Genomic DNA, 14,831 nt, shown 5'->3' on the forward strand with positions numbered 1-14,831 from the left:
CCACAGCTGTGAAAGTATTCTGGAAAAGAGATACAACACCACATTCATATACATTAGAAAAAGGAAGCTTTTCAAGTTTTAATTTGGGTACCTATGAATTGTTTGTTGCTAATTTATCATCCCCAAATATTAGGTAAGAGGACCAGGCGTGGTGGCTCACAGTAACCTCAGCACGTTGGGAGGCCGAGGCAATCACTTGAGGTCAGGAGTTCGAGACAAGCCTGGCCAACATGGTGAAACCCTGTCTGTACTAAAAATACAAAAACAGAGTGAGGCTCCATCTAAAAAAAAAAAAAAATTAGGTAACAGATTCACTGGCAGAAATACAAAGTGACGCAGGCACAAGCTGTCACTGCAGGAAACGTCTAGTAGGAGAAGCTGCTTGAGGAAACTGTGATCTCCACGCAGTCAGGGGCTACGCACCGGCGAAGGAGAAGAGCTCCGTGGCTGGAAGGAGGTTTCCGATACCCACTGCCAAAGGAAAAGCACAAGGCACGAAACAACGCAGAGTATCTTCCTTTTATGTAAGAAATGGCGGGAGACTAAAACCCATATTCTGCTTGCTTATATTTGGAAAAGGAAACGTGGATACACCAGCAGCAGATAAAAATGACTTCTAGGGAGGGAGGGAATGGGGGATGGGACAGAGACAGGAGTAGCCCTCTCTGAGTATGTCTGACTTTGGAACCATGCTAACATCTTCCATAATTAAAAAAAAATTAAATAAAAAACCAACCCCTCAAAATTGAACCCAAATTAAAGCAAATGAACCCAATAGGACAATAAGGTTAGAGGCGGAACCTAGAATTCTGGCCTCCTCCTGTTTTTTATTTTGTTTGTTTTTTTGTTTTTTGCCAGAATGTGAAAGTACAGAGGAGCTGGCCCCTGACTCTGGCCACGCTTTGGCCCCCTTGCCCTGTGTGTAGCCTCGTGGCTGTGCCTGTGGACACCTCGTCTCCAAGCCTGGCACACAGCCACCCCTTGGTCACAGCAGTGAGACCCCAGGAAGAGCTGCACAGGGTCCTTGGCCGTGGAGCAGCCTCTACAACTGTAAGCTCAGGCTCCGCAGGGTGTGTCCTCGGCGTGTGCAGGGTTGCTGTCACAGGGGTGCCACGCCGGGCCCCTAAAGCACCAGCCCCCTTGCCTGGGTTCTTCCTTTATGTTTTCATTAGGTAAGATCTACATAATAGAAAATTCACCATTTTGACATGAACCATTCAATGGCATTTACTACCTTCAAAATGTTGTACGGCCACCACTTCTACAGCCTATCAGCCGCCACTCCCACTGCCCTGGCCCAGACCCTGACAACACGAATCTGCTTTCTGTCTCCATGGATTTGCCGGTTCTGGATCTCTCATTGGAGCGCATTCACACAGCATGCAGCCCTTTGTGTCTGGTTCTTTTACTTGGTGCGGCATTTCCGAGGCTCGCCCATGCTGTGGCACAGGCCAGTGCAACATTCCATTTTACGGCCAATATATATATATGTATATTACATGCCATTGTATGGATATGTGGTTTGTTTTTCCATTTGTCAGTTGATGAACACTTTGTTTCCAGTTTTTGGCCGTTGTGAACAGTGCTACAAACAGCTGTGTGGAAGTTTTTGCTTGAATATCTGTTTTCATTTCTTGAGTATACACCTAGGAGTGAAACTGTAGCATCCTATGGTAGTTCTTTTTTTATTTTAAAATGGAGTCTCGCCCCGTTGCTCAGGCTGAGTGTAGTGGTGCGATCTTGGCTCACCGCAACCTCTGCCTCCTGGTTCAAGCAGTTCTCTTGCCTCAGCCTCCCAAGTAGCTGGATTACAGGCGTGCGCCACCAAACCTGGCTAATTTTTGTATTTTTAGTAGAGACGGGGGTTTCACCGTGTTGGCCAGGCTGGTCTCGAACTCCTGACCTCCAGTGATCCGCCCGCCTTGGCCTCTGAAAGTGCTGGGATTACAGGTGTGAGTCACTGTGCCCGGCAGTCCTTTGGTAATTCTGTGCTTAATTTTCTGAAGACCACCAAGCTGTTCTCCACGGCGGCTGCACAAGTTTACATTCCCATGGGCCATGTACAAAGTTTCCAATTTATCCACATCCTTGCCAACACTTGCTGTTTTCTGATTTTTAAAAACGGTGGCCATCCTACTAGCTGTGAAATGGCACTCCAGTGTGATCTTTTCTGGGTTTTCTGGCATTTCCTGGTGATCTTTTCTAGGTGGTTCTATTTGTATCATCATTATAGACTGCATGTTTGTATGCTCCCAGAATTCCCATGTGGAAGCCCTACCTGCAGTGTGATGGTATTTGGAGATGGGGACTTTGGGAGGTGACTGAAGGTAGGGACCTCATGATACGATAGTGCCTTCATAAGAAGAGACCGGAGAGCTCTCCCTCTCACTCCGTCCTATGTGAGGCACCAGGACACAGTGAGAAGCTGGCCGTCTGCAAGCGAGGAAGACAGCCCTCCCTCACCAGAACCTGATGGTGCTGCCACCCAGATCCTCAATTTCCAATCTCCAGAGCTGTGAGAAAATTAATTTCTGTTGTTTAACCCACCCAGTCAGAGTATTTTGTTATGGCAGCTTGAGCCGACAAATATAATTATGAACTTGTGGATTTTCATCTGTCAGAGGCAAAGATGGTGAAATGTAAACAACATGTTAATACTGGGCAATGGGTTTATGAGTATCTGTTGGGCTCATTCTTAAACAGTTTCATAAGATGTTTAATAGTTCAAATTATAGATTCAGCCCTTAAAACTACAGATTTAGGGCTCGCCGCGGTGACTCATGCCTATAATCCCAGCACTTTGGGAGGCCGAGGCGGACGGATCACGAGGTCGAGAGATCTAGACCATCCTGACTAGCATGGTGAAACCCTGCCTCTACTAAAAATACAAAAAAATTAGTCGGGCGTGGTGGCAGGTGCCTGTAGTCCCAGCTACTCAGGAAGCTAAGGCAGAAGAATGGTGTGAACCCGGGAGGCAGAGCTTGCAGTGAGCTGAGATCGGGCCACTGCACTCCTGCCTGGGCGACAGAGCGAGACTCCGTCTCAAAACAAACAAACAAACAAACAAACAAATAATCAAACAAAAAACCACTATAGATTTAGATTCTTCATTTGTATCACAGGGATCATCATAGAAAAATGAGCTAGAAAGAAATTTTACAGTATGTTTTAAGGTATTCCCCTGCCTCTAGATAAAAAGCACCTAGACTAGGTGTGGCGGCACGCACACCTGTGGTCTCAGCTACCTGGGAGGCTGAGGTGGGAGGATCACTTGAGCCCAGGAGGTTGAGGATGCAGTGAGCCATGATTGCGCCACTGCACTCAGGCCTGGGCAACAGAGTGAGACACTGTCTCTTAAAAAAAACCCAAAAACCTAAATAACAGGGCTAGGGGTGGGGAGAGCTCACCCAGTTTCCAGAGGCTTCCACCACAGAATCTCTAAAACCCAGCAAGTGCGGCACCAGGCATGTCACAGTTGGACTGCCTGTTAGCTTTCTACTTTTTGGGGAAATTCACAGCAGAATTCCAGCCTTTGTAGTAGCCAGAACCCAAATTCCAAGTCTCTTTGGGGCTAGGACAGAGGTATGTGTGAAAAGTTGCAAGAATAGTACAAAGAGCTCATACAGTCTTTCTCTAGATTCACCTGTTCACATCTTCTCTCATTTGCTTTATCCTTCGCTCGCTCTCTTTCAATACACAGACTTTTAAAAATCCGTCATCATTTGAGAGCAAGTTGTTTACCCCTAACAACTTCAGAGGGTATGTCCTAAGAATGAGGACACCTGCTTCTACAACCACGGCAACTTCAGGTGCTGCTTCAGGAGAACGCCGCAAGGATAAGAGTATTCATCTAGGATGACTGTCTCATAATTACCACGTATTAGACACCGAGGTTTATCTAATATATACAGATACAGCATTATAAGACCATTTCCCTCCTCTAGCACAGAATTTAGTATATTACTTACATGTAGTTATCATGCCTCTTTAGTTTCATTTAATCTGAAACACTTGAATTTTTTTATTTTTTTATTTTTTTGAGATGGAGTCTCACCCTGTTGCCCAGGCTAGAGTGCAGTGGGGCGATCTCAGCTCACTGCAGCCTCCGCCTCCCAGGTTCAAGAGATTCTCCTGCCTCAGCCACCCGAGTAGCTGGGATTACAGAGGTGCACCACCATACCTGGCTAATTTTTGTATTTTTACTACAGACAGGGTTTTGCCCCATTTTGGCCAGGCTGGTCTTGAACTTAAGTGATCTGCCCGCCTCAGCCTCCCAAAGTGCTGGGATTACAGGTGTGAGCCACCACGCCCAGCCTACACTGAGATTTTTGAAGAAGAGGGCTGCCTCCCACGGCCCTTGGGGTTTTTGCGATGTCTCCAGTGTTTAACATGACAGTTTCGAGATGATTTTCCAGTCAGTGCCACTCCATGCTTGCTGGTCTGTGAGTGACATTCCACTGTCAACAAGAGCCCTGCTCCTGTTTATCTCATCGCTGTCCACATGGACTCACAGACGCTGTCATTTTCCAGGGGCTGTAATTCATCTCTGTCCTCGCTTACTTTGGTGCTCAAAGTGAAGAAAGCACTGAGTCTCGCCGGCCCTTTGCGTTTCCATATTAGTTCTAAAGTCAGCTGTCAATGTCTACCCTCCCTGTCCCCGCAAACACCTGCAGAGTTTTGATTTTGAATGAGGCCTTTAATTCCTCTTGGTAATGCTTATAAATTTTCTGTACACAGGTGATGCACATCTTCCCTTAGATTTATTCTCAGGTATGTAATCTTTTATGGTGCTTCTTAAATGGCATCTTTAAACATTTCCCATTTTATAATCCTTTGTTGCTAGTGAATAGAAATACAACTGATTTCTGTATATTGGCTTGTGCCTAGTCACCCTGCTAAGCTCTGTATTCATTCTAATAATAGACCTGTAGGTTCTTCTCAATTTTCCAGGTGCACACTCACATCACCTGTGAGCCACAGGCATGGTGGTGTGTGGCAACAACAACATTCAGACAGAAAGCCTACCATCTTTTTGGCCAGGAGAACAAGAGGACAGAGCTGGGGCAACCAGGACTGCCAAGGGGTAAGGTGGGAACACTCCAAAAAGAAAAGAGTCAGTGAGGGAGACCTCAAGTTCTGTGCATAAACTTTGCCTAAGAGCCTGGCTGGCCCCTGAACCGTATATATGGGGGCAAACTGAAAGGGGTCTCTGCTGTGATCTAAGCAACCACCAGCACAGGCATGACCAAGTTGGCAGTTTGGGTCTCACCAAGTTAAATGTCTGCTAAAGCAAAAATATCAACATTAGATGGATGAACAGAACAGGATTTAAGTCTTAAAACGACATCCATAATACCCAAGATATAATTAAATTATTCAAAATATGGAAGATATTCATCATCAGGGGCAAAAACAATCAGAAGTTATCAACTCAAATATCCCAGATACTGGGATGGCTTGACACAGACTTTAAAGCAGCTATTATAATTAGGCTCAATTAGGTTAAAAATGCTCATGTTGAATAAAGATACACAAAATCTTATCAGAGGTCAGGGAGGATCCAAGATGGCCGAATAGGAACAGCTCCGGTCTACAGCTCCCAGCGTGAGCAATGCAGAAGACGGGTGATTTCTGCATTTCCAACTGAGGTACCGGGTTCATCTCACTGGGGTGTGCCAGACAGTGGGCGCAGCGCACTGTGCGCGAGCCGAAGCAGGGCGAGGCACTGCCTCACTCGGGAAGCGCAAGGGGTCAGGGAATTCCCTTTCCTACTCAAAGAAAGGGGTGACACATAGCACCTGGAAAATTGGGTCACTCCCACCCTAACACTGCACTTTCCCAACAGGCTTAAAAAACGGCACACCAGATTACATCCCGCACCTGGCTCGGAGGGTCCTACACCCAAGGAGTCTTGCTCATTGCTAGCACAGCAGTCTGAGATCAAACTGCAAGGCAGCAGCGAGGCTGGGGGAGGGGTACCCACCATTGCCGAGACTTGATTAGGTAAACAAAGCAGCCGGGAAGCTCAAACTGGGTGGAGCCCACCACAGCTCAAGGAGGCCTGCCTGCCTCTGTAGGTTCCCCCTCTGGGGGCAGGGCACAGACAAACAAAAAGACAGCAGTAACCTCTGCAGACTTAAATGTCCCCGTCTGACAGCTTTGAAGAGAGTAGTGGTTCTCCCAGCACGCAGCTGGAGATCTGAGAACGGGCAGACTGCCTCCTCAAGTGGGTCCCTGACCCTGAGTAGCCTAACTGGGAGGCACCCCCCAGTAGGGGCGGACTGACACCTCACACGGCCGGGTACTCCTCTGAGACAAAACTTCCAGAGGAACGATCAGGCAGCAGCATTTGTGGGTCACCAATATCCGCTGTTCTGCAGCCACCGCTGCTGATACCCAAGCAAACAGGGTCTGGAGTGGACCTCTAGCAAACTCCAACAGACCTGCAGCTGAGGGTCCTGTCTGTTAGAAGGAAAACTAACAAACAGGAAGGACATCCACACCAAAAACCCATCTGTACGTCACCATCATCAAAGACCAAAGGTAGAAAAGACCACAAAGATGGGGAAAAAACAGAGCAGAAAAACTGGAAACTCTAAAAATCAGAGCACCTCTCCTCCTCCAAAGGAACGCAGCTCCTCACCAGCAACGGAACAAAGCTGGATGGACAATGACTTTGACGAGTTGAGAAAAGAAGGCTTCAGACAATCAAACTACTCTGAGCTACAGGAGGAAGTTCGAACCAATGGCAAAGAAGTTAAAAACTTTGAAAAAAAATTAGACAAATGGATAACTAGAATAACCAATGCAGAGAAGTCCTTAAAGGACCTGATGGAGCTGAAAACCAAGGCATGAGAACTACCTGAGGAATGCAGAAGCCTCAGGAGCCGATGCGATGAACTGGAAGAAAGGGTATAAGTGATGGAAGACAAAATGAATGAAATGAAGTGAGAAGAGAAGCTTAGAGAAAAAAGAATAAAAAGAAACGAACAAGGCCTCCAAGAAATATGGGACTATGTGAAAAGACCAAATCTACATCTGATTGGTGTACCTGAAAGTGACAGGGAGAATGGAACCAAGTTGGAAAACACTCTGCAGGATATTATCCAGGAAAACTTCCCCAATCTAGCAAGGCAGGCCAACATTCAAAATCAGGAAATACAGAGAACACCACAAAGATACTCCTTGAGAAAGGCAACTCCAAGACACATAATTGTCAGATTCACCAAAGTTGAAATGAAGGAAAAAATGTTAAGGGCAGCCAGAGAGAAAGGTCAGGTTACCCACAAAGGGAAGCCCATCAGACTAACAGCTGATCTCTTGGCAGAAACTCTGCAAGCCAGAAGAGAGTGGGGGCCAATATTCAACATTCTTAAAGAAAATAATTTTCAACCCAGAATTTCATATCCAGCCAAACTAAGCTTCATAAGTGAAGGAGAAATAAAATACTTTACAGACAAGCAAATGCTGAGAGATTTTGTCACCACCAGGCCTGCCCTAAAAGAACTCCTGAAGGAAGTGCTAAACATGGAAAGGAGCAACTGGTACCAGCCACTGCAATAACATACCAAATTGTAAAGACCATCAAGGCTAGGAAAAAACTGCATCAACTAACGAGCAAAATAGCCAGCTGACATCATAATGACAGGATCAAATTCACACATAACAATATTAACTTTGAATGTAAATGGGCTAAATGCTCCAATTAAAAGACACAGACTGGCAAATTGGATAAAGAGTCAAGACCCATCAGTGTGCTGTATTCAGGAAACCCATCTCACGTGCAGAGACACACATAGGCTCAAAATAAAGGGATGCAGGAAGATCTACCAAGCAAATGGAAAACAGAAAAACGCAGGGGTTGCAATCCTAGTCTCTGATAAAACAGACTTTAAACCAACAAAGATCAAAAGAGACAAAGAAGGCCATTACATAATGGTAAAGCGATCAATTCAACAAGAAGAGCTAACTATCCTAAATATATATGCAAACAATACAGGAGCACTCAGATTCATAAAGCAAGTCCTGAGTGACCTACAAAGAGACTCAGACTCCCACACAATAATAATGGGAGACTTTAACACCCCACTGTCAACATTAGACAGATCAACGAGACAGAAAGTTAACAAGGATACCCAGGAATTGAATTCAGCTCTGCACCAAGCAGACCTAATAGACATCTACGGAACTCTCCACCCCAAATCAACAGAATATACATTCTTTTCAGCACCACACCACACCTATTCCAAAATTGACCACTTGATAGTTGGAAGTAAAGCACTCCTCAGCAAATGTAAAAGAACAGAAATTATAACAAACTGTCTCTCAGACCACAGTGCAATCAAACTAGAACTCAGGATTAAGAAATCAAAACCGCTCAACTACATGGAAACTGAACAACCTGCTCCTAAATGACTACTGGGTACATAATGAAATGAAGGCAGAAATAAAGATGTTCTTTGAAACCAACGAGAACAAAGACACAACATACCAGAATCTCTGGGACACATTCAAAGCAGTGTGTAGAGGGAAATTTATAGCACTAAATGCCCACAAGAGAAAGCAGGAAAAATCTAAAATTGACACCCTAACATCACAACTAAAAGAACTAGAAAAGCAAGAACAAACACATTCAAAAGCCAGCAGAAGGCAAGAAATAACTAAGATCAGAGCAGAACTGAAGGAAATAGAGACACAAAAAACCCTTCAAAAAATTAATGAATCCAGGAGCTGGTTTTTTGAAAAGATCAACAAAACTGATAGACCGCTAGCAAGACTAATAAAGAAGAAAAGAGAGAAGAATCAAATAGATGCAATAAAAAATGATAAAGGGGATATCATCACCAATCCCACAGAAATACAAACTACCATCAGAGAATACTATCAACACCTCTACGCAAATAAACTAGAAAATCTAGAAGAAATGGATAAATTCCTCGACACATACATCCTCCCAAGACTAAACCAGGAAGAAGTTGAATCTCTGAATAGACCAATAACAGGCTCTGAAATTGAGGCAATAATCAATAGCTTACCAACCAAAAAAAGTCCAGGAGCAGATGGATTCAACAGCCGAATTCTACCAGAGGTACAAGGAGGAGCTGGCACCATTCCTTCTGAAACTATTCCAATCAATAGAAAAAGAGGGAATCCTCCCTAACTCATTTTATGAGGCCAGCATCATCCTGATACCAAAGCCTGGCAGAGACACAACCAAAAAAGAGAATTTTAGACCAATATCCTTGATGAACATTGATGCAAAAATCCTCAATAAAATACTGGAAAAGCAAACCCAGCAGCACATCAAAAAGCTTATCCACCATGATCAAGTTGGGCTTCATCCCTGGGATGCAAGGCTGGTTCAACATATGCAAATCAATAAATGTAATCCAGTATATAAACAGAACCAAAGACAAAAACCACATGACTATCTCAGTAGATGCAGAAAAGGCCTTTGACAAAATTCAACAACCTTCATGCTAAAAACTCTCAACAAATTAGGTATTGATGGGACGTATCTCAAAATAATAAGAGCTATCTATGACAAACCCACAGCCAATATCATACTGAATGGGCAAAAACTGGAAGCATTCCCTTTGAAAACTGGCACAAGACAGGGATGCCCTCTCTCACCACTCCTATTCAATATAGTGTTGGAAGTCCTAGGCAGGGCAATCAGGCAGGAGAAGGAAATAAAGGGTATTCAATTAGGAAAAGAGGAAGTCAAATTGTCCCTGTTTGCAGACGACATGATTGTATATTATCTAGAAAACCCCATCATCTCAGCCCAAAATCTCCTTAAGCTGATAAGCAACTTCAGGATATAAAATCAATGTACAAAAATTACAAGCATTCTTATACACCAATAACAGACAAACAGCCAAATCATGAGTGAACTCCCATTCACAATTGCTTCAAAGAGAATAAAATACCTAGGAATCCAACTTACAAGGGATGTGAAGGACCTCTTCAAGGAGAACTACAAACCACTGCTCAAGGAAATAAAAGAGGATACAAACAAATGGAAGAACATTCCATGCTCATGGGTAGGAAGAATCGATATCATGAAAATGGCCATACTGCCCAAGGTAATTTATAGATTCAATGCCATCCCCATCAAGCTACCAATGACTTTCTTCACAGAATTGGAAAAAACTACTTTAAAGTTCATATGGAACCAAAAAAGAGCCTGCATCGCCAAGTCAATCCTAAGCCAAAAGAACAAAGCTGGAGGCATCACGCTACCTGACTTCAAACTATACTACAAGGCTACAGTAACCAAAACAGCATGGTACTGGTACCAAAACAGACACATAGACCAATGGAACAGAACAGAGCCCTCAGAAATAATGCTGCATATCTACAACTATCTGATCTTTGACAAACCTGACAGAAACAAGCAATGGGGAAAGGATTCCCTATTTAATAAATGGTGCTGGGAAAACTGGCTAGCCATATGTAGAAAGCTGAAACTGGATCCCTTCCTTACACCTTACACAAAAATTAATTCAAGATGGATTAAAGACTTAAATGTTAGACCTAAAACCATAAAAACCCTAGAAGAAAACCTAGGCAATACCATTCAGGACATAGGCATGGGCAAGGACTTCATGTCTAAAACACCAAAAGCAATGGCAACAAAAGCCAAAATTGACAAATGGGATCTAATTAAACTAAAGAGTTTCTGCACAGCAAAAGAAACTACCATCAGCATGAACAGGCAACCTACAGAATGGGAGAAAATTTTTGCAACCTACTCATCTGACAAAGGGCTAATATCCAGAATCTACAATGAACTCAAACAAATTTACAAGAAAAAAACAAACAACCCCATCAAAAAGTGGGCAAAGGACATGAACAGACACTTCTCAAAAAAAGACATTTATGCAGCCAAAAGACACATGAAAAAATGCTCATCATCACTGGCCATCAGAGAAATGCAAATCAAAACCACAATGAGATGCCATTTCACACCAGTTAGAATGGTGATCATTAAAAAGTCAGGAAACAACAGGTGCTGGAGAGGATGTGGAGAAATAGGAACACTTTTACACTGTTGGTGGGACTGTAAACTAGTTCAACCATTGTGGAAGTCAGTGTGGCGATTCCTCAGGGATCTAGAACTAGAAATACCATTGGACCCAGCCATCCCATTACTGGGTATATACCCAAAGGATTATAAATCATGCTGCTATAAAGACACATGCACACGTGTGTTTATTGCGGCACTATTCACAATAGCAAAGACTTGGAACCAACCCAAATGTCCAACAATGATAGACTGGATTAAGAAAATGTGCCACATATACACCATGGAATACTATGGAGCCATAAAAAATGATGAGTTCTTGTCCTTTGTAGGGACATGGATGAAACTAGAAACCATCATTGTCAGCAAACTATTGCAAGGACAAAAAACCAAACACCCCATGTTCTCACTCATAGGTGGGAACTGAACAATGACAACACATGGACACGGGAAGGGGAACATCACACACCGGGGACTATTGTGGGGTAGGGGGAGGGGGGAGGGATAGCATTAGGAGATATACCTAATGCTAAATGACGAGTTAATGGGTGCAGCACACCAACATGGCACATGTATACATATGTAACAAACCTGCACGTTGTGCACATGTACCCTAGAACTTAAAGTATAATAATAATAAAATAAAAAAAAAGAAAATCTTATCAGATACACAAAAAACATAGTGGAAAACAAATGGAAATTTTAGAACTAAAACACACAACATCTGAAATTTTAAAATTTACTGGATGAACTTAATAAGAGACTGGGGATGAGAGAGGAAAGAATCAGTGACCACTGAAATTAGATTAATAGAGATGACCCAATGATCCAATCTCAAAAAGAGAAAAAAGATAAAGAATGAGGTGCAGGCATCTTTGGGGCAATTCCTAAAGGCCTAATACACAAGTAGTTGGAATCTCACAGAAGAGAACAAAGAGAGTGGGGCAGAGAATGTTTTTAGAAGCAGAAAACTTTCCAAATTTGGTGAAAGACATAAATTTACAGATTTCAAGAAGCTCCACAAATTCCAAATATGATAAGTATGAAGAAACTCATAGCAAGGATGCTATACCACACACTTCTGAATAATCCACAGGTCAAAGAAGTCAGACTCTCCGGTCTGACATGTAAAGGGCCTGGAAGTCGTCACTCCCATCCTCACAGCAGCGACACCGGCAAGGAGAACAAACTGCAAGTCCCAGCTCTGCTTAGACCCATCAGAGAGCTGAGATCACAGGACACACTGCTGCCCCCAAACTGCAGAGGCAGACAGGCAAATGCAGAGAATCGCAGTTTACCAGGAACAGAAGATGATGCCAGAGCCTGCAACTGATAGGTTATGCCTGGCTTTTAAGAAAAAATACTGGAGTCCCCTCCTTATCCTCAGGGGACACATGCTGAGACCTCAGTGGATGCCTGAAGCCTTGAATAATACCCAACCTTATCTATATTGTTTTTCCCTTTACACATGTACCTATGGTCAAGTTTAATTGATAAGTTAGGCAGAGTAAGGTTAACAATAAAACAGAACAATTGTAACAACACACTGTAATAAAGTTATGTGAATGTGGTCTCTCAAAGTGTCTCACTGTACTGTATTCATCCCCTTTTGGACCACGGTTGACTGCGGGTAACTGAAACCATGGAAGGTGAAGCCACGGACACGGGGGACTATTGGACAGGCATGTTAACAGACACACACACAGTGTGAAGAGCAAGGGGGACTATCGGACAGGCATGTCCCATAGTGTGAAGAAACACAGTGTGAAGTTACAAAGTGAGGCCTCAGAACCAGATTCGGATATGGCGAAAGTTTTAGAGTTATCAGCTTGGGAACTGAAATAACTGATTAATATGAGGGTGCGAATGGAAAGGTGGACAGATGGGAACAGAAGCGAGAGATATGCACACTCCAGGAGTGGTACCCAGACATGCCAAAATCAAGAAGAATTCACAATGTACATCAGAAAGTATTTTGAACTTCAAGACAATGTTAAAATATCAACACTTTTATCTTGAGATGTTGCCACTACAGCATTTCGGGGAGAAATCTGTTGCTTTACATGCTTATATTAGGGCCGGGCCCGGGGGCACACACTTGTAACCCCAGCACTTTAGGAGGCTGAGGCAGGTGGACTGGTTGAGGTCAGGAGTTCAAGACCTGGGCAACATGGTAAAACCCCATCTTCTCAAAAAAAACCCCAAAGTTAGCCGAGTATGTTGGCACATGCTTGTAGTCCCAGCTACTCAGCAGGGGGAGCTGAGGTGGGAGGATCACTTCAACCCAGAAGGCCGAGGCTGCAGTGAGCCAAGACTGCACCACTGCAATCCAGTATAGGCAACAGAGCAAGACCGTTTCAAAGAAAAAAGAAAAAAAAAAAAAACAGCTTATAGAAGAGAAAAAATGATCAAAAATCACTGACCAAAGGTACCACCTCAAAGAGCTTAATGAAGAGCTCTTTAAACTCAAGGTAAGCAGGAGAAAGAAAATAACAAAGATGAGATAACAATGAAATGGAAAATGAATTTTGCAATAGAAACAATTAACAAGGCCAAATGTTGGTTCTTTAAAAATGTCAACAGAACTGATAACCTCCTAAGGGAATTAAGAAAAAGAAAAAACAAATCTCCAGTATCAGGAATGAAAAAGTTATACTATAGCTCCGTCAAACATTGACAGGTATTAAGAGAATGTTCCAAACAACTTTATGCTAACAGATTGGACATCTTATACGAAATGGACAAATTGCTTTAAAAAATTTAATTTCCCAAAACGGATACTGTATGAAATAGAAAATTTGAACAGCCTTTAAAAGACTGGATTTGTTCTAAAACAACAACAAAACTTCCCCAAAGGAAAACTCCAGGCCTAGATGACCTCACTATCAAACACGTAAAGAAGAAATAACACTAACGAACGTGAACTTTTTCAGAAAATCAAAGAGGAAGAAATAATTTCCAACTCCTTTTATGAGGCCAGCATCATCCTGGTACCCACACCGACAAGATTATCAAAAAAGAAAAATTACAGACCAACTCTCCCCTTGAAAAGACACAATATCTTTAACAAAACTTTAGCAATTTAAACCTAACTACATAAAAAATGTCAATAGAAGACAGCCACTATTTTAGCAAAATAAGGAAGAAAAAAATACGAATGTTTCAATAGATGCAGAAAAAAAGCATGTGAAAAAATTCAACACATGCTCAGGGCTTAAAAAAAAAGTCCTCTCTCACCAGACTAATAGAAAGAAACTTCCTCAGTTTGATAAAGGGCATCTATGAAAACCATGCAACTAACATCCTAAGTCATGGTGGACCACTGAGTACTTTCACCCTAACACTGGGTGTAAGGCAAGGATGCCCACTTTTACTGCTTCTGGTCAATGCTAAGTTAGAAAGACTAACAGCAAAAAGCAAGACAGCAAGCAAGCGAACAAATGAAACAAAAGACACAGGGACTGGAAAGCAAGAAATAAAACAATCTGCAGATCGCCTAACTGTTCAAACACAAAATCCTAAGGAAGCTATAAAAAAGCTAGCAACAGAATCAATCCGTGAGTTCAGCACATTCACAAGATAAGAGATTACTACACAAAAATCAAGTATATGTTTTACATACTGCCAATAACCCAATGGAATCTAAACATTGTAAAAGCAATTCCGTTTTTAATAGTACTAAGAAACGTGAATTTTTTTTTGCCGTAACTTTTCATCTTGAAATAATTATAGATGCATAGGAAGTTGCAAAGATTGCCTAGAGAGGTATAGGTGGACCTGCCATGCATTTTCCCCAGTGGTT

General features: G+C 42.8%; 2 protein-coding genes across 8 annotated transcripts in view; one reads left to right on the forward strand and one right to left on the reverse strand.

Moving 5' to 3' along the window:
• AMZ1 (archaelysin family metallopeptidase 1) overlaps positions 1-14,831 on the forward strand; it is an 85,617-nt gene that overhangs the window by 58,479 nt on the left and 12,307 nt on the right. The window contains exon 7 of one of the 4 annotated variants that reach the window (NM_001384740.1): positions 859-1,830. The exons of the other annotated variants lie outside the window; for them this stretch is intronic. Coding sequence (NP_001371669.1) covers positions 859-1,176 — 318 coding nt within the window. The 3' untranslated portion in view covers positions 1,177-1,830. Of the gene's footprint in view, positions 1-858; positions 1,831-14,831 lie in introns of those variants that run through there. 4 annotated transcript variants of the gene reach the window in all.
• Positions 1-14,831, reverse strand: part of GNA12 (G protein subunit alpha 12) — a 116,204-nt gene that overhangs the window by 9,896 nt on the left and 91,477 nt on the right. The gene's annotated exons all lie outside the window — the stretch shown is intronic.

This window comes from Homo sapiens, chromosome 7, assembly GCF_000001405.40.
Source record: "Homo sapiens chromosome 7, GRCh38.p14 Primary Assembly".
Classification (NCBI taxonomy): domain Eukaryota; kingdom Metazoa; phylum Chordata; class Mammalia; order Primates; family Hominidae; genus Homo; species Homo sapiens.